At 36.1% G+C, this 27,562-nt stretch overlaps 1 long non-coding RNA gene across 2 annotated transcripts, besides 1 other annotated feature; it reads left to right on the top strand.

Annotated features, from left to right (window-relative positions):
• Positions 1-27,311, top strand: LINC00604 (long intergenic non-protein coding RNA 604). 2 transcript variants are annotated; one of them, NR_170327.1, is made up of 4 exons: positions 1-90; positions 1,089-1,210; positions 26,624-26,698; positions 27,025-27,311. It is a non-coding gene; the product is annotated as a long intergenic non-protein coding RNA 604 (long non-coding RNA). The 2 variants fall into 2 exon arrangements; NR_170328.1 differs by lacking the exons at positions 1-90; positions 1,089-1,210; positions 26,624-26,698 and adding an exon at positions 20,307-20,507 and having other exon boundaries at positions 27,010-27,311.
• Positions 17,841-18,135: a silencer, noted in NCBI's record as "tiled region #7127; HepG2 Repressive non-DNase unmatched - State 24:Quies". NCBI's record gives its function as "represses a minimal TATA promoter and a strong SV40 promoter by Sharpr-MPRA in HepG2 cells {active_cell/tissue: HepG2}" and the evidence as "EXISTENCE:reporter gene assay evidence [ECO:0000049][PMID:27701403]".
• Positions 27,312-27,562: the final 251 nt, after the last annotated feature.

Here is a 27,562-nt window from a genome sequence, read left to right on the forward strand (position 1 = left end):
AGTCTTTACTGAAACTTCTTGAGAAATCTTGAGCCAGTACCACGTAGCTGAACTGCTGCCAGATTCTTGACTCACAAAAACTGCAACATGGTAAGTTTTTTTTTTTTTTTCTGGTGGGGCAGGGGGTTGTTAGTTTATTAGGTAACAATAGATAACTAATACAATAATATACCCTCATATAAAAAACAAATAAAAGGTCCTGGGTTGTTGGCCTTGCCATGTTGTTTCTCTTCAGTTAGTTCTACTGAGGATCCATGCCACTTGGCTAGTTTAAGTTACAGTTTTGTTTGTTTGATGAATTTGAGCTCCTTGTTGTTATTGAAGATATGGATATTCTATTTTTTAAACTGCTGTTGGTTCTGCTTTGATGGAAGATTTTGATTCCATTTGCTCATCTCCTTTTATTTTTTTTCTACATTCTTGCCACACTTTACACATTTACTTTACCATCTGTGGCAGATTATAGATGGCCACAAATTCTTTGAAACTTCTCCCATCTAGCTGTGGTATCTATTCACCCTCCTCTTGAATCTGGGTCTGATTATGACTGCTTTGATCAACAGAATGTGGAACTGACACTATGCCAGTTCTAGGCAGGCCCACATATTCTCTTGAGCCCTAAGCAGTCATACAAGAGGCCCAATTACCCTTCTAGAGAGACTATATAGAGAGGAATTGAAACTATATGGAAAAGGGGAGATCCAGTTGAACCCAGCCTTCCAGTAATCCCTACCAAAATGTTGGATATCATTGAGTCTCACATTGACCTTCCTGACCAGCTTGGCCTTAGATGAATACCAAGTAACTCCTATTAATGCCATGTGGAACAAAGGAATTGCCAACTAAACACTTCCCAAATTCATAACCTAGAATTTGTGAGATGTAATATATGGGTTTTGCTTAAGTCATCAGGTTTTATAGTATACAGATATATGTATTATTATTATGTATAATTATGTATTTCACAAAAATATATAATCAGAATATTATCTATCAATTTATATATCTTTTAGTGTATATTATTGTTTTTGCATAAATTCTAATGACTTCTAAGTTTTAGTATTTTCATTTTTTTTTTTTTTTTTTAGACAGAGTCTCGCTCTGTCGCCCAGGATGGAATGCAGTGGTGTGATCTCGGCTTACTGCAAGCTCCGCCTCCTGGGTTCACACCATTCTCCTGCCTCAGCCTCCCTAGTAGCTGGGACTACAGGTGCCTGCCATTAGTTACTTTAATGTTTATCCCTTATCTTCATGCTCTCAATATTTTTTCATTGATTTCAACATCAGTTTTTATTTAAAATCACTTTTTTTCTATTAGAAAATTTATTCTCCCCTTTACTCTAAGTATTATTTATTTTTAGCCTTTAAAAATGTTAATATCACCTACTGGTTAAAATTAGAGAACAGAGTGATACTTGAAGGAAAAAGAAAATGTTGCTATTTTTTATCTATATACTTTTATACGGTTTAAACATTTACTATAGCATTGCATTTGTGAAGTGTTTTATACTTGAAAGGAAGAAAACAAAAGACAAAAAAAACTTCTATTTATTCTTAACTTTTTAATGTTTTAATTTCTAAATTTACATTTAGGTTTATTATCAAGTTGTGATTCTACCCTTCTTGGCAACTTATAACATTTAAATTCTGCTTTTTATCAGAATATATTTCAACTCAATCCAATAAAAACTATAATTTTGTATATTCTCAATCAATAGGGGAGATTTTGTGTTAAACAGTTAAAATAAAATTCAGTAGATAAGAAAAAATGTCAAAATATATCCAACATATATTTTATCACAATTAAAGTTGGGTCATCCAGAACATCTAAATGTTTTAATTTCTACAGCACTGAGCACTAGAGAGCCTAGACATTTTGACCCAAAATTTCTGCTGCAGAAAAAAAAAAAAAAGAAAGAAACTGAAGACTTCCTGAAATTCTAGTACCTCAATCCAATTGGAAAAAAAATTTGCCTAATCCAATCAAGCAAGTCCTCAGTGAGTAGCAACATAAACAAACACATAAATTTAAGTCAATATTTAAGTCAATATTTTTATTAAAATGCATACTGCTAAAGCCAAGACAAAAGATATTACAGGAAACATCTTTTTCCATAAAATATGAGTTTTGGTATCTTTTTGGACTAATACTTGGAGGGCATACAAGAAAGATGCCAAGACTTTAGCTCAGAGCCTGGAAAGGACAAGAGAGGCAGGTGTGATTTGGTCCTTGAGAAAGGATTGGTTACGGCTGCAACCAAGGGTCATCTGGTATGCTGAGTTGAGGAAAAACAGTGAATTCAGTATGGCTGCTGGCTTAAAAACGGCAAAGTACAGCCCAACCTTCTCTAACCCTAGAGACAAGGATTAGGAATATTTACCTTAATGTATATCATACAGAGCTTCTTGAAATATGAATGCTTCCTGAGAAGTGATCTTTATCATATTTCTATGGAGAAAAAACGTGGACAGAGTTTGAGTGGCTCCTCTAAAGGAAGTGGAAATGAGTCAGCACCCCTGAGATGTTGAGACTAATTACTTTACCTGACTTTCCGCTATAGGATGAAACCAACTAGACTAGTGTTTGACTATTGACCTCCTCTGAAGAACACATGTCGATTCCCTGGGGTAATTAGACTCTATTTCCCCAAAACTTTTTGGCTGAGGTAGAGACCCAGAAATGGTAAATGGCAGGTTTGGAGGGTTGTAATCAATTTCCTGTTTCTCTGTCCACTGCTTTCTGTTGACTCTACATAATACTTCCTTGTTGACTTCAACAGCATCCATCAGCACAGTAGTCTGTGGTTAAGAGTGAACAAAATTTCCTTTAGTTGTCTGTCTCCTCATTTGGAGCAAACAGGAGAACATTATTATGGTCAAGATTAAGTCACCCACATAGAAAAACCTCTATTCGGAAAATTGTAAAATGCCAACACCAGTCTTAGCTTTCCCACTAGCCTGAGACAAGTTACTTGACTTCCGTGGACATCAACTTTCCATTGTCATTCTGAGGAGACTGAAGTAAATAAGAAGTTTTTAACAAAGACTTTGTGGACTTGGAGAGGTGGTGTTGATGGAGAAGAGAGCTTCAAATACTCAGAAATGCAGTACAACTTTTAAGTTGTACTACATTTTTTTTCTGAGAATAAGCTTTAATCATTTTTACAGAGGTTTGTGACCTAAAATTGTTGAGAACTAAATATTTTTATTCTGTAAACATATATTGAACAAGGCCTTGGGTTAGGCAAAGTGGGAAACACAAAATGAGTGAGACAAGTACCCAAATCATCAAAATCAAATGTACAATATGCTACTGCCACAGAGATGAAGAGACCATAGTATTTATAGAAGTGAGAGATTATAGCTGTCTGGAGGTAGGGAAGTGAGAATGGGGGAATACTTCAAGGAAAATAGTTCAGGTCTGTGCATGTAAAGAGAGCAAAGTAGTTGATGTAAAAAGAATAATAGGAGCTAAGCATAAACTCGAAAAACACTATGGATGGTAGTTGCAGTGGCTCACGCCTGTAATCCCAGCAATTTGGGAGGTTGAGGTGGGAGGATCACTTGAGGTCAGGAGTTCGAGACCAGCCTGGCCAACATGGTGATACCTTGTATTTATTAAAAATACAAAAATTAGCTGGGCATGGTGGCACACGCCTGTAATCCCAGCTACTTGGGAGGCTGAGGTACGAGAATCACTTAAACTCAGAAGGCAGAGGTTGCAGAGGTTGCAGTGAGCCGAGATCATACCACTGCACTCCAGCCTGGGTGACAGCGTGAGACTCTGTCTCAAAACAAAACAAAACAAAATACCCTATGGGTGTGAGGCAACGATATGCAGTCAGACACATTTGGCTAAGATACCAGATATGGGGAGAAAAGAAGGAGAGCAGTAAAGCATACAGCCAAGTAATGTATTTTAAAAATAAAAATAGCACCCACATGGAAACACAAAACTGGCTACGACTTATGCTAAGTCTATGCTAGTGCTTAGATCTCAGTGGTTTTTAACTTTGTGGAAATATGTGCTTGGCTTCTGTTAATACGAAATATCCCACACCTGATGTCAGATAGATGGATGTATAGATGGATAGATAGATAGATAGATAGATAGATAGATAGATAGATAGACAGATAGATAGAAACTTCCTTTCAACTCACAGAATTACTATATATCTACGGATGTAATCTATGCTGTTAATTCTCAATATTCATGGAATTATGTTTACAAAAATGCTGTGAGCACTGAATTAGTAAATACTGAAACATTCTTCCTAGAGAAAAGACAGGAAGAGGTTCCTATAAGCCTCTGGTCACATTTTTATCAACAGATCAATATATAACTTTGTTTTATGAATGTTTCTGTTTAAAGATACCTTTTCTTAAAGGTTGACTCAAGAACTGCTAAGTAAATAAATGTTCATTCATGAACATCGAACTTATGACCTACAGCACTATAGGCCATATGTGAATTAAGCTTATCAAGCACAGATATATTCTCCATGAGGTTCATTGCAGCCTTCCTGTGCTTAGGAACACTAGTCAGCACTTTGGGACTACACTTTTGGGCCATTTTAAATGGTGAGATCACTAACAAGAAGCACACGAGTAAAAACAATGGCAATAAATAGACTATGGAAGGACCCTTGTTTACACTATTATACATGAAACAAAAAGGCAGAGTGCTGCCTTGTTTAACCTCAGCTGGGCATATATGCATTGAACAAGTCAAATTTTTTTCACTCTACTTGTGTCTGTGAATAACCTCAAAAGTGTCCCAAGCATTTATTTTGGGTTACAAATAAATAAATTTCAGCAAGTAGGTGAATTTGTAAATATAGAAACTGTGAATAATGAATTTTGACTATAAATATACATCTATATGTATATATATATATGTGTGTGTGTGTGTGTGTGTGTGTGTGACCCCAAAATTCTTATTTTAAAATTCTAACCTGTGACATGGTGGTATTTAGAAGGCGGCCTTTGGGAAGTAATTGGGTCATGACATTGGAGCTTAAAAGAAGAGACCAGAAGTGGAGCAAGATGGCAGAATAGGAGACTGCACTGATTGTCCCCACCATGCAGGAACACCAAATTTAACGACTATCTACACGAGAAAAGCACCTTCCTAAGAACCAAAAATCAGGTGAGCACTTACAGTACCTGGTTTTAACTTCATGTTACTGAAAGAGGCACTGAGAAGGGGAGAAAAAGCCGTCTTGAATTACTAAAGCCACCCCTCCCCCTAACCCCTGTGGCTGTGTGATATGGAGAACCTGTGCACTTGTGGAAGAAGAACACAATGACTGTGAGACTTTGCATTGAACTTGGTTCTGCCGTCACAGCAGAAAGCAGAACTGAGCTGTAGTTAGCTGATGCCCATCCACAGAAGGAGCATTTGGACTGGGTCTAGCCAGAAGGAAATTACCCATCCCAGTGGTTGAACCTTGAGCTCTGGCAAGCCATGCCACCACAGGCTAAAGTGCTGTGGGGCTCTGAATACATTTGAAAGGCAGTCTAGGCCACAAGGACTGCAACTCCTAGGAGAATTCTATTGCTGAGCTAGACTCAAAGCCAGTGGACTGAGAGGGCACACAACCTACTGAGAAACCTGAAAAGATGGCTAAGGGAGTGCTTGTGACTCCCCTGCCGCAATCCTAGTCTGCATAGCTCATGGCTCCAAAAAAGACTCCTTCCTTCTGCTTGAGAAGAGGAGAGGAAAGAGCAAAGAGACTTTCTCTTACATCTTGGATACCAGTTCAGCCACAGTAGAATAGGATTCCAGGCTCTAGTTCCCAGACAACATATCTAGACACACCCTGGTCCAGAAGAGAACTTGCTGCCTCACAGGCCAGGAGAGAGTAGCATAACATATTTAAAGTGCTGAAAAATGTTTACCCTAGAATAGTATATCTGGTGAAAATATCCATCCAACATGAATGAGAAATAAAGACTTTCCAAGATGAACTGAAACTAAGAGATTTCATCCATTCCAGACCTTTCCTACAAGAAATGCTAAAGAGAGTACTTCAATCAGGAAGAAAGGACTTTAATGAGTAATAATCATGTGAAGGTAAAAAAAAAAACTCGCTGGTAATAGTAAGTACACAGAAAAAATACAGAATATTATAACACTGTAACTATAGTGTATAAACTACTTTTATCTTAAGAAGAAAGGCTAAAAGATGAACCAATCAAAATTAATAACTACAACAACTTTTCAAGACATAGAACAATAAAATATTGATAGAAACAACAAAAAGTTAAAAAGCAGGAAAATGAAGTTAAGGTGTAGAGTTTGTATTAGTTTTCTTTTTGGCTTATTTGTTTTTTATGCAAAAACTGTTAAACTGTTATCAGCTTAAAATAATGGTTTATAAGATAGTATTTGAAAGCCTCATGGTAACCTGAAATAAAAAAAAATACAACAAATACACCAAAAATAAAAATCAAGAAATTAAATCATACCCCTAGAGAAAATTATCTCCACTAAAAGGAATACAGGAAGGAAGGAAAGAAGGAAGAGAAGACCGCAACAAACCAGAAAACAAATAGTAAAATGCGAGGAGTAAGTCCTTACTTATCAATTATAACATTGAATGTAAATGGACTAAACTCTCCTATCAAAAGACATAGAATGGCTGAATGGATGAAAAACAAGACACAATGATTTGTTGCTACAAGAAACACACTTCACCTGTAAAGACACACATACACTAAAAATAAAGTGATGAAAAAAGATGTTCCATGCCAATGGAAACAAACAAATCAAAAAAAAAAAGTGGGAGTAGCTATACTTAGACAAAACAGATTCCAGGACAAAAACTGTAAGAAGAGACAAAGAAAGTCACTGTATAATAATCAAGCAGTCAATTCAGCAAGAGGACATAACAATTATAAATGTATGTGCATACAACACTGGAGCAACCAGTTATATAAAGCAAATATTGTTAGAGTGAAAGAGTGAGATAGATCCCAATACAATAATAGCTGCACACTTCAACAACCCACTTTCATCACTGGACAGATATTCCAGACAGAAAATCAACAAGGAAACGTCAGACTTAGTCTGCACTATAGACCGCATGAACCTAATAGATATTTACCGAATATTTAATCCAAAGGCTGCAGAATACATGTTCTTTTTCTCAGCACATGGATCATTCTCAAGGATAGACCATATGTTAGGTCACAAAACAAGCCTGAAAACATTCAAAACTTTAAAATAATGTCAAGCATCTTCTCTGACCACGATAGAATAAAAAAACAAAAATGACAAGAGGATTTTTGCAAACTATACAAATAGATGAAAATTAAACAATGTGCTCCAGAATAACCAGTGGGTCGATAAAGAAATTTAGAAAAAAATCAAAAAAATTATAGAAACAAATTATAATGAAAACACAACATACCAAAACTTGTGGAATACAGCAAAAGTGGTACAAAGAGGAATGTTTATAGCTATAAATACCTACATCAAAACAGAAGAAAAGCTTCAAATAAACAACCTAGCAATGCATCTTTAAAAACTAGAAAAGCAAGATCAAACCTAACCCAAAATTAGTAGGAGAAAAAATAATAAAGATCAGAGCAGAAATAAATGAATTTGAGCTGAAGAAAACAATACAAAAAATTAATGAAACAAAAAGTTGGTTTCTTGAAAAGTTTAACAAAATTATCAAACCTTTAGCCAGACTAAGAAAAAAAAAAAGAGAAGACTCAAATAAATAAAATCAGAGATGAAAAAGGAGATGTTACAACTGATACCACAGAAATTTAAAGGATCATTAGTGGCTACTATGAGCAACTATATGCCAATAAATTGGAAAATTTAGAAGATATGGATAAATTTCTAGACACTTGCAATTTACTGAGATTGAACCATGAAGAAATTCAAAACCTGAACTGACTAATAACAAGCAATGTGATTCAAGTTGTAATAAAGAGTATTCCAGCAAATAGAAGCCTGGGACCCAGGCTTCACTGATAAATTCTACCTATCAAACATTTAAAGAAGAGCTAATAACAATCATACCCAAACTACTCTAAAAATAGATGAGAAGGGAATACTTCCAAACTCATTCTATGAGGCCAGTATTACCCTGATAACAAAACCAGACAAAGACACATTAAAAAAGAAAACTATAGGCCAATATCTCTGATGAATATTGATGCAAAAATACTGAACAAGATACTAGCAAAATGAATTCAACAATACATTAGAAAGATCATCCTTCATGACCAGGTGGGATTTATTCCTGGGATGCAAGAATAATTCAATACGCATAAATCAATCAATGAATACATCACATCAACAGAATAAAGGACAAAAAACATATGACCATTTTCATTGATGTTGAAAAAGCATTTGATAAAATTCAACATCCTTTCATAATAAAACCCCTCAAAAACCTGGGTATAGAAGGAACATACCTCAACACAATAAAAGCCATATACAAGAGATCCACAGCTAGTATCATACTGAATGGGGAAAAACTGAAAGTCTTTCCTCTAAGATCTGGAATAAGATAAGAATGCTTACTTTCACCACTGTTATTCAACAAAGTACTAGAAGTCTTAGCTAGAGCAATCAGACAAGAGAAAGAAAAAAGGGAGAAGTCAAATTATCCTTGTTTCCAGATTATATAATCTTATATTTGGTAAAACCTAAAGACCCCACCAAAAAAAACTATTAGAACTGATAAACAAATTCAGTAAAGTCACAAGATACAAAATCAACATACAAAAATCAGTTGCGTTTTTATATGTCAACAGCAAACAATCTGAAAAAGAAATCAAGAAAGTAATCCCATTTACAGTAGCTACAAATAAAATTACATACTTAGGGACTAAATTAAAGTAGTAAAAGATTTTTACAATTAAAACTATAGAACACTGATGAAAGAAATGGAAGTGGATTCAAAACAAAAGGAAAAAATATTCCATGTTCCTGGATTAGCAGAAACAATACTGTTAAAATGTTCGTACTAGCCAAAACAATACACAGATTCAATGCAATTCCTATCAAAATGACAATGATGTTCTTCACAGAAATAGAAAAAAAGAATTCTAAAATTTCTATGGAACCATAACAGACCCAGAATAGCCAAAGGTATCCTAAGCAAAAGGAACAAAACTGAAAGACTCACATTATCTGACTTCAAATTATACTACAAAGCTATAGTAACCAAAACAGCATGGTTCTGGCATAAAAACAGACATATAGACCAGTAGAACAGAATAGAGGACCCAGAGCTATATTCATACATCCACAGTGAACTCATTTTTGACAAAGGTCCCAAGAACATACATTGGAGAAAGGAGAGTCTCTTTGATAAATGGTGCTGGGAAAACTGGATATCCATTATGCAGAAGAATGAAACTAGCCCCCTATCTCTCACCATATACAAAATCAAATAAAAAATGGATTAAAGACTTAAATCTAAGACCTAAAACAATGAAACTACTAAAAGAAAACTTCGGGGAAGCTCTTCAAGACATTGGAGTGGGCAAAGACTTCTTGAGTAACACCCCACAGGCATAGGAAACCAAAGCAAAAATGGACAAATGGGATTACATCAAGTTAAAAACCTTCTGCGCAGCAAAGGAAACAATCAACAAAGTGAAGAGACAACCCACAGAATGGGGTAAAATATTTTCAAATGATCCATCTGACAAGGTATTAATAACCAGAATATATAGGGAGCTCAAACAACTCTATAGAAAAAAATATAGTAATCCGATTCAAAAATGGACAAAATATTTGAATAGAAATTTATCAAAAGAAGACATAAAAATGGCAAACAGGTACATGAAAAGGTGCTCAACATTATTGCTCATCAGAGAAATGCAAATCAAAACTACCAGAGATCATTTCACCCCAGTTAAAATGGCTTTTATCAAAAAGACAGGCAATAACAAATGTTGGTTAGACTGTGGAGAAAAGGGAAACCTCATACACTGTTGGTGAGAATGTAAATTATTACCACCACTATGGAGAAAAATTTAGAGATTCCTCAAAAAACTAAAAATAGAGCTACCATATGATCCAGCAATCCCATTTCTCCATATATACTCAAAAGAAAGAAAATCAGTATATCAGAGATATAGCTGCACTCCCATATTTTTAGCAACACTATTCTCAATAGCCAAGATTTGGAAGCCACATAGAGGCCTAGAAATACATGAATGGATAAAGAAGATGTAGTACATATACATATACACGATGGAGTACTATTCAGCCATAAAAAAGAATGAGATCCTGTCATTTGCAACACTGTGGATGGAACTGCAGGTCATTATGTTAAGTGAAATAAGCCAGGCAGAGAGACAAACACTGCATGTTCTCACTTATCTGTAGGAGCTAAAAATTAGAACAACTGGACTCATGGAGGTAGAGAGTAGAAGGATGGTTCCCAGAGGCTGGGAAGAGTGGTGGGGGGTGGGGGCAGGGAGGAAGTGGGGATGTGGAATGGATACAAAAACACAGAAATAATGAATAAGACCTAGTATGTGCTAGCACAACAGGGTGACTGTAGTATGAAATAATTTAATTGTGTATTTTAAAATAACTAAAAGTATAATTGAATTGTTTGAAACACAAAGGATAAATGCTTAAGTTGATGTATACCCCATTTACTGTGGTGTGATTACCACACATTTCATGCCTGTATCAAACTATCTCACATAACTCATGAGATAGTCCACTCTCCATTTCCATCCAGGGTATTGCAAATGATGGGATCTAAATATGTACACTTACTATGTACCCACAAAAATTAAAATAAATTAAAAACAGAAAAAGCCAGATAGGTAACATTCTCTTTCTGTAAGTGAGGATACAAAGAAAGAGAAGTCACAGCCTGCAACCTGTAAGAGAATGCTCACAAGACCCAGTCCAGGCTGGGACCCTGATCTCAGACTCCAGTCTCCAGAACTGTGAGAAATAAATTTCTGTTGTTTATAAGCTGCCCAGTCTAAGACTGTCATAGCAGCCAGAACTAAACATGTATATATACCTACACATCTTTCATGCAAATTACAGAATTACTAAGTAGGAAAATTCACACAAAGTAAATGATGATGTTAAGGGCTATTTGGTTGTCTTCTAAATACTCAGTATTCATTCTAAATGGGAAACCAAATAATACTCTGAAAGTGGCTTGGTTAGGATGAAACTGGAGAACATTACTTACATTATTTGATGGTTTAATAGTATTAAGCCAAAGGAGGCAAGTCCTTAGTGAAATGGAATATTAAGTAATGTGTAAATTAATATAAATGAAGATGCTTTGGGAAAGTTAGCCAAGTACCCCTTTGGCTATGACAGCCTGGATTTTCAACAGGTACAGGGAGGACAAGTATTTTTGTGGCAACATCTCAGGAAAAGTAGGCTTCTTTCCAAATGGCACCCACATATACAGTTTTAAAAGATAAATTGTTTCTTTTGATTCCTCTTTCCAACTTTTATTTTTGATTCGGGGGTACATGTGCTGGTTTGTTGCATGGGTAAATTGTGTGTCATGGGGCTTTGGTGTACAGATGATTTCATCACCCAGGTAATGAGCATAAATGCCATAGGTAGTTTTTCAATCCCCATCCTCCTCCCACCCTCCAGCCTCAAGCAAGCTCCAGTGTCTACTCTTCCCTTCTTTGTTCCCATGTGTACTTAGTATTTAGCTCCCATTTATAAGTGAGAATATATGGTATTTGGTTTTTTGGTCCTGCATTAATACGATAATGGCCCCCAGTTCCATCCACATTACTACAAAGGACATGATTTCATTTTTTTGTTGGCTACATAGTATTCCATGGTGTATATGTACCACATTTTCACATCCAGCACACCATTGGTGATCATTTAGGTAGATTCCATGTCTTAGCTATTGTGAATAGTGCTGTGATGAACATACGCACGCATGTGTCTTTATGGTAGAACGGTTTATATTCCTTTGGGTGCATACCCATTAATTGGATTGCTGGGTCGAATGGCAGTTCTGAGTTTTTTTGAGAAATCTTCAAACTGCTTTCCACAATGGCTGAACTAATTTACATTTCCACCAGCAGTGTGTAAGTATTCCCCCTTCTCTGCAACCTCACCAGTATCTGTTATGTTTTGACTTTTTAATCATGTTTATTCTGACTGGCATGAGATAGTATCTTATCATAATTTTGATTTACATTTCTCTAATGATTAGTGATGTTGACCATTTTTTTTCTCACGTGTTGGTCTCACGTGTATGTCTTCTTTTGTGAGGTGTCTGTTCATGTCCTTTGCTCATTTATTTAATAGATTTCATGCGCGTCCGTGTGAAGAGACCACCAAACAGGCTTTGTGTGAGCAACAAGGCTTTTTATTTCACCTGGGTGCAGGTGGACTGAGTCCGAAAAGAGAGTCAGTGAAGGGAGATAGGGGTGGGGCCATTTTATAGGATTTGGGTAGATAAAGGGAAAAGGGGGGTTGTTCTCTGGCAGGCAGGAGTGGGGGTCACAAGGTGCTCAGTAGGGGAGCTTTTGAGCCAGGATGAGCCAGGAGAAGGAATTTCACAAGATAATGTCATCAGTTAAGGCAGGAACAGGCCATTTTCATTTCTTCTGTGGTGGAATGTCATCAGTAAAGGCAGGAACCAGCCATCTGGATGTGTACGTGCAGGACACAGGGGATATGATGGCTTAGCTTGGGCTCAGAGGCCTGACAATAGAGTTGCTTATTTTTTGCTTGTTGATTTAAGTTTCTTATAGATTCTGGATATTAGACCTTTGTTAGATGCATAGTTTGCAAATATTTTCTCCTGTTCTGTAGATTGTCTGTTGACTCTGCTGGTAGTTTCTTTTGCTGTGCAGAAGCTCTTTAGTTTAATTAGGTACCACTTGTCAATTTTTGTTTTTGTTGCAATTGCTTTCGGTGTCTTCGTCATGAAATCTTTGCCAGGACCTGTGTCAAGAATGGTATTTCCTATGTTTTCTTCTAGGGTTTTTTATAGTTTTAGGTTTTACATTTAAGTCTTTGGTTCATCCTGAGTTGATTTTTGCATACGGTGAAAGGAAGGGGCTCAGTTTTCATCTTTTGCATATGGCTAGCTAGTAATCCCAGCACCATTTATTGAATAGGAAATCTTTTCCCCCATTGCTTGTTTTTGTTGAGCTTGTCGAAGATCAGATGGTTGTGGGTGTGTGGCTTTATTTCTGGGTTCTTTAACCTGTTTCATTGGTCTGTGTCTGTTTTTGTACCAGTACCATGCTTTTTGTTTACTGTTGCCTTGTAGTGCAGTTTGAAGTTGGGTGCTGTGATGCTTCTGGCTTTGTACTTTTTGCTAGCTAAATTATTTCTTAATGAAGGCCCATAAATAAAAATAAAATAACTCCTATCTTACCTGACCCAAGGGAGAAAATATTGCAACTAACCTGGAGGAAGTGAGGCTGAGTTTGAGTATGAATGAGTAGAGAATCAGGTGGAAATGTGCCGGATTCAGGTAATGATGAGTTCCCATTTCCTCCAGAGGTCCACTTGGTGACAGGCAGGGACCATCAGGCGTGAATCCCAATTACTTCCTCATTCTTCTCACCTAACCCTACTAGTGTTGACTTGAAAATATATCTCAATAAATGCACATCTTTCTCTACTTCTTTCTCTTGGCACTTCAACCAAGAGACCATTCTTTATTCTTGAATAATCTAAGCCCCCTTTTTCCCATTATTCTCCCTACTTGAAAAGATTTCCCTCTAGCCCTTCAATGGGTGGCTAATCTCCCTCCCTCAGACCTCAGCTTAAATGTCTCCTACCCAACAAAGTCTTTCTCGTTCAGTCTGTCTGATCCTAGGTGTCCTTGCTAGGTCCTCAACTATTTATTTCCTTCCTATAGTAGTACAGCACGTAGTGATCTTGCTTATTCACTTGTTCACATGATCATTATCTATCTCCTTCCCCTGGCATATAAACACCATGAACACTAAGAATATAACCACCTTGTTTACCACTAAATCCCCAAAGCCTGGAAAAATGCTTGCCTCAAATTAGTTACACACTGTATGTTTAATGAATAAACATAAAGTCTACCTAAGTCCTTAAGTAGACTTTCTTAATAATCCTACAAAATAAAGACAAATTAGTGAAATTATAACTTATAATTGCATTGCAAGATTACAATCCTCTGGTTGAATTTTATGGCTTTTCAAATTGAGGTCAGGAATGTTCAGCATGTAATCCTAACCATGCAGGTAAATTTGTAAAGTAGGCTGTTGAGTGCCAGCTTTCAAATATCACTAACACCACCTGTTAAGACATTTAGTTTATTGCTTAATATAACACCATCTATCTCCACAAAGTTTCAGCAGTGTCATGAAGGGAATAGGGCAAGAACAGAATTTATTAAGAATTGGAAATTTTGTGTAAGATGGGGAAAAGTGAAAGGGAGGACTTGATTAGGATTGTATAAGAATTAACAACTTTTCTGGACTGCTGGAAATAGCAAGGTAAAGATGTTGGCACAAAAGATTCAAAGATCTTTCCAGTAAGATAGACAGTAAGGTTTAGTTGTTTTGCTTTATTTTGTTTTGTTTTGTTTTGGAGGGGATGAGGACTTAGGTAGTTTTGGTTCTCAGTGTCCAAGCAATGTAGGGCAGATGATTTTGGTTTCAGGGTGAAGGCTGGATCACAGTAACACCTTCCCAATTCCATGCTCCCACAACTAAACCAAACCAAGAGTTTAGAACTAAATGGATTATCTTCCCCACTCCTTCAAAATGTACATTTTAAAAACAAGTTTCTAGGAAAAAAGCTACATATTTAATCTGATGAAGTAGGACAATTTTAAATGGGAAAAAATATGAACTCTATTCAAATCACGTTGCTGCTCATGAGGCACCCCTGAGGATAGCTATACTTACAAGAGATTGATAAGAATTCCATTAGTACATATTAATATTTCAGTCTATTTAGAAAAAATACATATTCACTTAAAAATGGTTCTTTGCTTTTGTTAGGTATAGCAGTAAAATATAAAACTTCCAATGAGATTTAATATGTGGATAAATAATCTATTTAATATGATATGTGTATTTTAGCACCTAATGAGGGAGGGACCACATAGTTTGAATTGCATAATCTATGCAGTAGAGTGGCTTTTGATTCAATTGCTCAGTTGAATCAATTAAATAACATGCTTAATTGATTGCTTTTCTCTCGAATAAAAATAACCTTATTGGACTGAATATGCCAAAATTCCAGTCAGATATTTTGAAGTTACTTGTAGTCAGAAATCAGGATATTCAATATTCTTTGTCAAAAAAATCTCATAGGTTTTTACAAGCATCCATAAAGTCTCTCGGATTAGAATTTTTTAGGTTTAACCACAGACCTAACCATTTCTGAAGACAAAATTGATCAAATATTGCAATTTTATATGGTACGCCTTAATAGAACTTGAGAGCTGGATGAGGTCTTCAGAGACATATGGTGCAATCAAACTCCTATTGGAAGCTAGAGCTTGTTAGAGACAAACAGGTTGCAAGAGTCAGTCAGCTTGTGGTCAGACTTAGGACTGAGAATCCAACCTTCTGACGTTTGCCCACTGCATTCTGCTCAGGGTTCATGCCTTGACTTCCTGACAAGTTTTAAAAGTAACATCTTTTAAAAATAATTGTTGCATTTTGGATAATCTAGGCTACTGATTCATTCAATACGTTTAGCTCGGAAATGGTTGGATTTTTGCTTCAGTCCTTAGTTAATGGAATATTATTTCACAATAAAGTGAGATTGTCCTGTCTTTCTAGCTTGGCTCAAAAGCCTCTTGAAAAACTTATTTTGGAACAGCTAATCTTTTTAGTAGACTCATTGTCCTTTAACTATGATCCAGTATGCTTAGGCACATACGAAAGAGTTTCTGTTAATTGGCTAATGACAGACACACAAGACTCGAAACTCATTCACAACTCTAATTTCAGCATCAATGTCTGTAGAGCATTCAGTTCCTTAGAGCATTAAAACAATCGCAGATCAAACTATAACAACTTGATACTTTCATTATAATTTATTTTATAAAGTTTTTTCTGCAGGTTGGAAATCATTGCATAATCACTATAGAGCCCCTTTTATGAGAGTCAACGGGAGTGTAGTTGTGTCTATTTAAATTTATACTAGGCTCTGGGATTGAGTCGTAGGATAGAGCATCAGATGCCCACAGAAGCATTCTCCACACTATCCCTGTGTCGTTGTGGCTTCACAGGAGGTGGAAGATTGCAATTCCTTCAAAAGGGAAGGAACAAACTTAGTAGCCTTGCATGCTATTTGACTGCATGTTTATAATGGTGCCTTAGGAGGAAAAAGTTTTTGCCAATAGAAAAAAATAGATTTAGAAAAAAATTCTAAATAATAAAATAATAAATAATAAAACAGATTTTTTCTATTGGCAAAAATTTTAAACACTTGTTGTGTAAAATGTGGAAAAATGGAGACCTCAGGGTAAGAATGTAATCTGGAACAACAACTTTAGAAAACAATATAAGAAGGTCTTGAAAGTTACACAAGTCCATTCCGTATGGCCCAGTAATTTCATTTCTAGACATACACTGTAGAAACATTTTATATCTCTGCAGGAGGATAGTGTTGTATAAATTATTGGTGTTGTATAAATTTATATTTTATCGGTGTTGTATAAATTTATCTTGGTGTTACATAAATTTATAGTTTACTAAATTTTCCAGAGTTTGAGCACCTTATTTCTGGTGGGCGAGGAAGGATCACAAAATTTCTTTCTTCTGTAAATTGCCTTTCAATTTTCTTTGCCTATTTTTAGTTGGGCTGTTTATCTTTGTCTTATGATTCAGGAAGCATTTGTTTCTTAAGTCTAACTTATTGAGTTATGTTTATATACACTAAAGTATATCTGTTTTAAGTGTAGAGTTGAATTAGTTTTTTTTTTTTTTTTTTTTTTTGGAGACGGAGTCTCGCTCTGTCGCCCAGGCCGGACTGCGGACTGCAGTGGCGCAATCTCGGCTCACTGCAAGCTCCGCTTCCCGAGTTCACGCCATTCTCCTGCCTCAGCCTCCCGAGTAGCTGGGACTACAGGCGCCCGCCACCGCGCCCGGCTAATTTTTTGTATTTTTAGTAGAGACGGGGTTTCACCTTGTTAACCAGGATGGTCTTGATCTCCTGACCTCATGATCCACCCGCCTCGGCCTCCCAAAGTGCTGGGATTACAGGCGTGAGCCACCGCGCCCGGCCGAGTTGAATTAGTTTTAATATACACCTGTTTAACTAATATCACATCCAGATAAGAAATATTTTCCTTATGGCAAAAGTTCGTTATATCTATTGGTAACTAATCATACCTCTCCCCTCCTACCCTCGAGCCCCTGGAAACCACTGATCATTTTATTTCTCTGGAAATGTTTATTATTTTTCCCTGGGCCCTGACAATCTTCCAGTAGAAGTTTTGCCACTATTTTCTCTTGATAAATAACTACTCTCAAGGCAAGAGCTAGACCCACTTCTCTGGGTTCTCCTTTCTTAGATTTTGCATCAATCCTAGGTCCCCTTACCAGCTGGCTTCCTGCTAGGTTTGGCTAAAGGGAGGTTAAAGCTCTCCTCAGGTGGCACCTTCTTTATGGCTCTAATTCTCACTAGGTTCCCATAACATTTTTCAATACTTGGTCATATAGTTGATCACCCCTTCTTAGTCTTCATTTTCTGTTTGCACAGAGTCGCAAAATCAATGAGAAGTAAGAGCTTAAGGACTTTTCACTTTTTTTCTGAGTATGCTTACAGTCACATGCATGCCTGTAGTGTTTTAAAATCCCAGAAATATCTTAGGGCTTTTCCAAAACTCCTACTGAATTTTTGTTTACCTGATTTTTCCTTTTAGCTTCATGGTTTGTCTACTGTTTGCCTCAACAGTCATTCATGGCTTCAGTCAGACATGAAGTTAAGCAATTTCCTGTGATTGTTTTTGACAAACACCCTCAGAGAAGAGGCTTTTTGCACTGGTAGCTCTGACTGAGGTCAAATAAAGACAGCCTTGCAAGTGAGGTCTTAAGTAAACCATCAAACAGGACAAGTAATGGCAATGCTCTGGCAAGGGTCTTTGAAGAAGCTCCAAACCCTTTCTACTTCCAGTTGCAGCCAGGCTGCCAGTTTTCACTCTGATGCAGACTGTCAGTTTTCAAGGCTACCACAGAGCTGGATGCTAGAAAGTGGAACTATGATAAATTAAAATGTCGCAAAGCTTTCTGTTCTTATTGAGATTCTGTCACTTTTCCTGGGGTGGGGTAGTGGGGCGGGGAATGCACTTCATGTTGCTGCAAGCCTTTTGTTAGTTTTTAGAGTTCTGGAAGTTTTGATTTTAACAAGTTTTTGCCAATTTTCTCCTTGCTTTTATGGAAGAGAGAATTTTCAAAAATCTTTAATCTGTTATTTTCACTAAAGTCCTATGATCAGTTTTAAATTCCCCAACTCTCTTGGTTAAAAAAATATTTAAATTTCCTTGATGATTGATAAGAAAAGTGTTTTTCCCTCCCCTTCTAGATACAAATTATTATTCTAATTATGCTGCCTAAAATCTCTAGTTAATAGCTTACTGTGCACCTAGCATGAGCTAAAGACTTAATAGAAATTGAGTATGAAGTATGATTCCTTTGCAGTTACAAAAACAAGAATATAAAGGCTATTTTAAAATATTAATAGAAATTATTTACATAGTTATTTCTTCATTAGAAGCAAAACCTAGCTGATGAAATTATGTCTTTTTCCCAAAAAACATCCAATATTCTAATTTCAATTGGCACTATTTTAATTAATGAGAGACTTCATAATAAATCATTTGTCAAATTTATAAATATACTAAATTTCACACTGATGTATCTCTGAATTGCTTTAAATTAGATAATTTGTAATGTGATTCATCTTCTTCAGGCAACACCTCTTGTGGCAGTGAAATGGATCCATACATTCTTTTGTTTGCCTTTTTGCTCTGTTCTGACACATCACATAAGTTTCTTGGAAGACAAAAATAATTTCTTAAGAGTTTTTGGTTTTGTATGCTTTCAACAATACCTTTGGGTAGCCAAAATAACACTTGAAATGCATTCTCCACTGTCTCTAACAAAGTACTTGACATGGTCTAATTTATAAAGCAGACCCTTTTAGGCAGGGCGCAGTGGCTCACGCCTGTAATCCCAGCACTTTGGGAGGCCGAGGCGGGTGGATCATGAGGTCAGGAGATCAGGACCATCCTGGCTAACACGGTGAAACCCCGTCTCCACTAAAAATACAAAAAAAAATTAGTCGGGTGTGGTGGCAGGTGCCTGTAGTCCCAGCTACTTGGGAGGCTGTGGCAGGAGAATGGCATGAACCCGGAAGGCAGAGCTTGCAGTGAGCAGAGATCGCACCATTGCACTCCAGCCTGGGCTACAGAGCAAGACTCTGTCTCAAAAAAATAATAATAATAAATAAATAAATAAATATAAAACAGACCCTTATAAAAGTGACATGTTTCAGCAAAATACACTCCATGAGGTATTTTATTACAATTTATGAACAATTCTACGGATGGAAAAAGTTACACATACAATCATGTTACAGACTCCCACATCTGTAGATGTCTTTGATACTAGCGCTTTCTGAAAAATTCTGACACAAAATATCACTTGGCTTAGTAGAGATGATAAAAAAAGAACAGGCTATCTGAAAGAATCAGCATTAATTTTCTATCTTTTTGTTCTTGCTTGGCGTATCTCATTTTGCCCTTTTTGTTGTTGTTGTTGGTATGTAAATTGCTTTTAATTTTAGTATAAAAGCAAAAGACAAAAGTATTAAGAATAACTATAAATACAAAATTTGTTAACAGATATACATAAAACAGATGTTAATTATTTCATTTATAACATAAAGTGTAGGGGTTGCTAAAGTGTAGGTCTTTTGTATTCTATTATATTAGATTGGTGCAAAAGTAATTGTGGTTTTGGACCATTACCCTTTTTATCTGGGAGAGTTTTGTGGAATTAAGAATCTAGCTTCACATTGGAGGCCCTGCTGGAAATATGGATGACAGAAAAATTTGCTAATATTGTCAAACGATCAGTAACCACAACAAGAATGCAATTAGGTACAGAAGAGATGTATTTCAATCTGACTTTTAAACCATGAAACTGTGTGATAATTCTGCAAAGTTATATTTTGTCAGCAAACAAGCTGCGTTGGCAGTTCCCATAGGCAAAGTGCCAGACAGCTCATGTACAAGGGAATTGAAACATTGAAAGGGATTTCTTCCCTTAGTTCCTTTCATAACCGTACATATCTGTTATAGTTAGAGGGAGAATACTTGAAATTATTTCTGGAAGATATGGGAACTTTTGCGTGAAAAAGGGCTACAGAATTTTGCCTGTAAAGTTATGCTAATCTCTGTACAGAAATGTCTGACAATTCAGAAGCTGAAACTCAGCAAAATCTCTACTTTAAGTGTCAGATAAAGCCTAACGTCAAAGGAAAGGGCAAGAGTCTCAGGAAAGAGGTAAGCGAATAAAACTAGCTCTACAATAACCACAATGTCATTTAAAAATCTGCAGTATCCCTGCCAGATTAAATGTACTGAGAATTCGTCAACCCTAAAATCAATAGGAAATGTCCCCTTATTGAAGGTACCAGGGCCTTGGAAACATTCTCTTCTTCTCTAAATTTTCTCAGTAAACTCCAGAATTCTCTTTTATAAGCCATATGGAATCATAAATTTGTTTATCTAATAAATTACAAAGATGACTAGCAGCACATCACAATTAAGGGATATCTTTTACCTACTGTTCTCAGCTTTGGAGCTGTGGCAAAAACTCTGAAACAATTAAAAGTCTCAATGTACATACTGTTAAACATATAGATGATAACAGTCAGGGAATAATTACAGTGGTCCAGACAAGGAAAAATGGCAACTTGAACTAAGCTTCTGTTGATATAAATAGACTTGGACAGAAAGATATTATAGTTTGAATATCTATTTTAAAATTAACTAGGTAATAAATTTGATTTATGTTGAAGGGTAGGGGGCAGATAAAAGTAGATTTTGGACGTGACAAAATGGATGAATAATGGTCCCATTCATCATATAAAAAATAATTGAAAAGGATTATATTTGATGTAACAAAATCATGAGACTGATATTGTACCTTTGAAGTTTGAGAATATTTTCAGATATCTGAGGGACAATATTGAGTGTATAGTCCAATATGTGTCTGGAGTTCAGAAAAGAATTCTGGACTGGAGAAAAAAAATCCAAGAGCTATAAAAAAATAGGTACATGGTAATTGAAGCTATGGTTAAAGATAAAATTTCCCAGCTGGGTGCAGTGGCTCACGCCTGTAATCCCACCACATTGGGAGGCTGAGGCAGGCGAATCACTTGAGGTCAGAAGTTCAAGACAAGCCCAGCCAACATGGTGAAACCCCATCTCTACTAAAAATACAAAAATTAGCTGGGTCCGGTGGTGCCTGCCTTTAATCCCAGGTACTCCAGTGGCAGAGGCAAAAGAATCGCTTGAACCCCGGAGGCAGATGTTGCAGTGAGCCAAGATGGTGCCACTGCACTCCAGCCTGGGCAACAGAGCGAGATTCTTCTCAAAAAACAAACAAACAAAAGATGAGATTTTCTAATATAAAAGTAAAGAGTATGAAAAGAAAAAAGATCTACAAATGAAATTCAAATAATTCCAGTAATTAATGGCCAATATGAAGAGAATGTGCCCCCAGTGAAGACAAGAGACTAAATGCCAAAGAGGTAGGAAAGGAAACCAGAAAGATATATTATTTCAGTAACCAATAAAGAGATCATTTAAATAAATGAGGTGTATTCGATGATGTCATATTGTGCTGAGACACTTATAAATAATTTTAAATCTCCATTGCATTTGGTAGCATGGAGGTGGTTGGTGACTTTAGCCAGTCAGTTTGGAATAGGTTAAGGAGTGAGTGGAGGGTTGAGGAAATAGCAACTGCAAGTAGATACAACTCTCTTGAAAGATATGCTAGGATATGAGAGAAAACTAAGATAACAGAGGGAAGAGGTGGTGGGGTAAAATGTGTTTTTTAAAGAGTTGAATAGATCTGAGGATATTTAATTGCTGCCAGTAAGAATATCATTAAGAAATACAACAGGGTTACTATAACAATGCAGTGCCTATTTCATATAGCTAGAAGAGATTTTGAATATTGTCACAAAAAATAAATAATAAATGTTAAAAGTGATGGATGTGGTAATTACCCCAATTTGGTCATTATACTATGTGTATTTGCATTGAAACATCACATTGTATCCAGTAAATATATATAATTATTATGTGTTAATTAATTATAAATAAAATAAATAAAGTGTTAATTCTCAAAAGCAATATAACCAACAGGGTAAATTCCTTTGAAAGACAGAAGATGAAAAAAGAAAGAAATAGAGAAAGAAAGAAAGAGAGAGAGAGGGAGGGAGGGAAAGAAGAGGAAGGAAGGAAGGAAGGAGGGAAAAGAAAGAAGGAAAGAAAGAAAGAACAAAAGAAAGAACAAAAGAAAAAAGAAGAAAAGAAAGAAAGAAAGTAAAAGAAAGAAAGAAGGAGGGAAGGAAGGAAAGTAGGAAAAGAAAGAAAAGAAAGAAAGAAAGAAAAAAGAAAGAAAAGAAAGAAAAGGAAGAAAGAAAGAAAGAAAGAAAGAAAGAAAGAAAGAAAGAAAGAAAGAAAAGAAAGAAAGAAGGAGGGAAGGAAGGAAGGAAGGTAGGAAAAGAAAGAAAAAGAAAGAAAAGAAAGAAAGAAGGAAGGAAAGAAAGAAAAGAAAGAGAGAGAGAGAAAGAAGGAGGGAAGGAAGGAAGGAGAGAGAAGAAGGGAGGGAGGGAAGAAGGAAGGAAGGAAGGAAGGAAGGAAGGAAGGAAGGAAGGAAGGAAGGGATTTAGATTGGATATGGGAAAGAGGAAAACCTCAAATATAACCAAAGAGAAGAAAAAGAGAATGGGTATGTGTTATGGCTAATTTCATGTGTCAACTTCACTGGATCACAAGATGCCCAGGTATTTGGTTAAATAGTATTTCAGGTGTGTCTGTGAGAGTATTTCTAGAAGAGATTCATGTTTGAATCAGTATGCTGAGTAAAGCAGATATCCCTCTCCAGGTGGATAGGCATCATCCAATCCACTGAGAGCCTGGATAGCACACAAAGGTAGAGGAAGAGAGAATTTTCTTTCTACACCTGACTGCTTGAACTACTACATCAGTCTTCTCCTGCCCTTAGACTGGGACTTACACCATCAGCACAACTAATTGTCAAATGTTCAGACTCATACCAGAGCTACACCATTGGCTTTTCCGTGTGTGTGTGTGTGTGTCTGTAACATATATATATATAGAGAGAGAGAGAGAGACAGAGAGACAGAGAGACAGAGAGAGAGAGAGACAGAGAGAGAGAGAGAGAGAGAGAATGCACCAAAGGGGAAAAATACAAATAAGAATGAATGCTGACTTCATATGAGAAGTAATGCATCCCACAAGACAATGAAACAGTATTTTTAAAGAGCTAAAAAAAAATTTTTTTAGTCACTGCTAACCTAAAAGTCTATATTCAGTAGAATAGCCTTCAAATATGAAGGTGAAGTAAAAACATTTTCAGACTAACAAAGCTGATAGACTTCATTGCCAGCAGATTGGCACTATAAAAATTGGTGAAGAGAGTACTTCAGCTTTAAGTTATGATACCAGATAGAAACACAGGTCTGCAGAAAGAACTGAAGAGCATTAGAAATGGCAAGTATGAAAGACTTTAGTTAATAATTTCTTTAAAAAATAATTACCCACTTAAAGCAAAAATAATAATCCATTATGTAGTTTGTAATATGTGTGGAAGTAAAACATATGAAAAAAGTAGCATAAAAACCAAACATTAAACATATTACAGGTGAGTTATTAACAAATGTATAAACTAAAATTCTAAAGATTTCAGAAGCATATATAGGAGAACATAATTTATGAATTGGAGTAGTAACATATTTTTTGGATGAGAAAAAAGAACAAAACAAAGGAGAATGATTGATAAATTCAAATTTACTGAATCGAGTAGGATAGGGAACTATAAACAAAAATAAAAGACAAATAATAAACCAGGAAAAGATATTTATCCACAAATTGCAAAGAATTAATACTTAGATTACTATATAAAGAATAAGGATCAAATCAATAAGTAATAAAAGAGTGATCTAAAGCAAATAAAATGACCAAAAGGTCAGTATTATTCATGGGGAGGAAACTAAAAGTATTAATAAATATGTTAAACGCAACTCAAACTTAAAGAATTCAGGACAATTACCACTAAAACAATCATATGACACTAGTTGATTTTCATTCAACTGACAAAAAAATTAGAAGTCTGGCAATAAGAGGCTATTTTACTTCTCTTACGCTACTGATTAGCGTGAATTGGTACATGCTCTTTGGTAAACAATTTGGATTTGGCATTAGCTGATAAAGTTGAAAATGCATTTTTCCTATGAACACGTAAGTTTCTTCCTGGAAACTTTAACACACATAGGCGTAAGGGACATGGACAAGAATATTCACGACATCTTTGTTGATAACAGCAAAAACTGGAACAATCAAAATTCTGACTAATCCAAAAAGAAATAAATATATTTTATATATTTTTATAAGGGGATAATTCACAATAATTAAACAACAAACAATAACAGCAATTTAAAATAAGTACAAAAACAAAATTTCAAAATGATAAATTCAGAATACTATTTATATAAGCTTAAAACAAAACAAAACTGCGTTTATGAACCCATACCTATGCATATTTATTCATTATATGAGGTGGGCAGATGTCTCACAATTATAGATAATTATAATCCACAAGGTTTTACTACTTTTGATGACAGAAACTAGTCTAATCCATCCTTGTTTCTCAAAACAGAACATATAATAGGGGCTTAATAAATAATTGATAAATAAATTAGTGATAAAATTCAGGTTTCATGACTCTCAACTCCAATTCTCATCATATTTATGCAATACTAGGTAAGGCCTTTGTAAACATGCAATATATGTTGAAAGAGAAAAATTAGCTTGTCTTCAGAGTAGCTGAAAACAAAAACCAAAAAGCTTTGCTAATTTTAGCTTTAAAAAATCTCAAAAATTATGGGTAACACAGTAGCATTCCTACTCAAAGGACCATATATTTGAAATATTGTTCTTCAAATAATTATGCTTCCATGTACTAACAGGAAAAAAGAATGTCAAACTCTCAGGCTACTTTTATGTATAATTCCAACATCTTTTCTTTTCTCATGAATGTCTGAAATTACGTTGTTCTCCAGATGCCAGTCACAAGACCAAGTCAGACCCATCAATAGTTTACTAAAGACAAGCCCAAATTGTCACAAATCCAGAAAGTCAAAACTGTAACATCACTACATTCTTAATTGAGATTATGGTCATTGTAAAGCAAATCCATTTAATAGTAATTTTCCACCTTTTTTATTCTGCTACACCTCATATGTAAATATGTACAATAAGAATTCCATGGGTACACCTAGCAAGAGGCATCATTCAATATACCCTCCAACTCACATTTTAGTTTCTCAAAAACTTTCATCCCAAGAAGAAAACACATACTGACTAATGTGTCCTCCCCACTCTATCTCCTCCACTTACGTCACTGGACATCTGTCCTTGATCTTTTAATTTGTGTCAGACTAGGCCAGAAACACTATGTGGGCAAAGAAAAAGACCATTACTGTTTTACATTTATCTCTCCTCATCTGGGAAGTTGAGATACACAGGTGTGTGACAAAGGAATTTTGGAAAAAAAAAATTAGAAGCTAGGGGATGTCATTTATGCATTATCCAAAATCTATTTTATTCCAACAGTAATTTAACTGTCTAAATCCACATTCACCTATGAAATGGTTTCATATGTGAGCATATGTATTACAGTAGAAAAAAGGCAAAGAACCACAGTTGTTAGGTAAATCTCAACTGCTTTGAGATCTCTTAGTGTAGTCCTGCCAGGAAAAGCAAGCCCAACTGGAAAATGTTTTTCCCTCCATCACAAAATCAAATTGTAAACTTATTACATAGGCTACCAATAAGTGTCTGCTGTCCCCCTAAATTATACAATTACCCTTTTAATTCTTACAAAATAAAGTTCATATACCTAATAGGATAACAGTGATCTTTCTCTCAAACCATAATCCAGAACTTAGTGTGCCCTTCTAATCTACAAGATGAGTGTGATGGTTAATATTGAGTGTCAACTTGATTGAATGGAAGGATGCAAAGTGTTGATCCTGGGTGTGTCTGTGGGGGTGTTGCCAAAGGAGATTAACATTTGAGTCAGTGGACTCGGAGAGGCAGACCCACCCTCAATCTGGGTGGGCACAATCTAATCAGCTGCCGGCTCAGCTGGAATAAAAGCAGAAGAACGTAGAAGGACTAGACTGGCTAAGACTTCTGGCCTCCATCTTTCTCCCGTGCTGGATGCTTCCTGCCATTGAACATTGGACTCAAAGTCCTTCAGCTTTTGGACTCTTGGACCGATGCTAATGGTTTGCCAGGGGCTCTCAGGCCTTTGGCCACAGACTGAAGGTTGCACTGTCGATTTCCCTACTTTTGAGGTTTTGAGACTCGGACTGGTTTCCCTGCTCCTCGGCTTGCAGATGGCCTATTGTGGAACTTCAACTTGTGATTGTGTGAGTCAATACACCTTAATAAACTACCTTTTATATATACATCTATACTGTTAGCCCTGCCCTCTAGAGAACCCTGACTAATACAATGAGTATGGATGTGCCCACAGGATCTCCCTTGCCAGTAGTGGTGGGGTAGAAGTATGCAGTCATCATTAGGCTCTGAGGCTTAATCAAGCTAAACATGATAATCTAGTACCCACAGTCTAGCTTCATGGCTATGGTGAGCTCATTAGGGATAAGAAGTGACTTGAGGAATGGAAAGAGAGCTAAGTTGTTGTCAGTGGATTTAACAATATCATTCTCACTTGCAGTATGCTGACTTCCAGGGCCAGTTCTTCAGAATCTGCTTTTTCTCCTGAAATCAGGCCATGCGAAAAGAAGATGTTGCCTCCTGGCACAGATCATTCATCCTGCCTGGTCCTCAGTCAAGTCTCCAGCAGCTTGGGATGTCTGAAGAATGAAAAGCCTAAGAGACAAGGCCCGGGGATGCCCAACATACATTCTATAAGTGGGGAAAGTGGATAAAATGTTTTCTGTGTGGAAAGGACAAATAACAGTTAATTTCTACTGGAAAAGTAAACAAAAACCGTAATTAAAATTGCTCAAAAGTAAATTCTGATGCATGGCTTTGCTCTCCTGATGCGTGTTCCAAAGCCTTCAAACCCAGAGCACATAGCACCTTTTCTGTAATCCTTTACCCAGTACCTATCAGGGGACACAGTTACCCGCTGCTGTGGACCAAATCATCACCCATCTTTCTAATACTATGATGTACTTGCATGATAGTCAGCTTACCAATGTGTTTGAGTATGCAGTGGGATTGCAAACTGATCAAAGATTTTGCAAAGAATATGAGGTTGGTAA

This window comes from Homo sapiens, chromosome 5 (assembly GCF_000001405.40).
Source record: "Homo sapiens chromosome 5, GRCh38.p14 Primary Assembly".
NCBI lineage: Eukaryota > Metazoa > Chordata > Mammalia > Primates > Hominidae > Homo > Homo sapiens.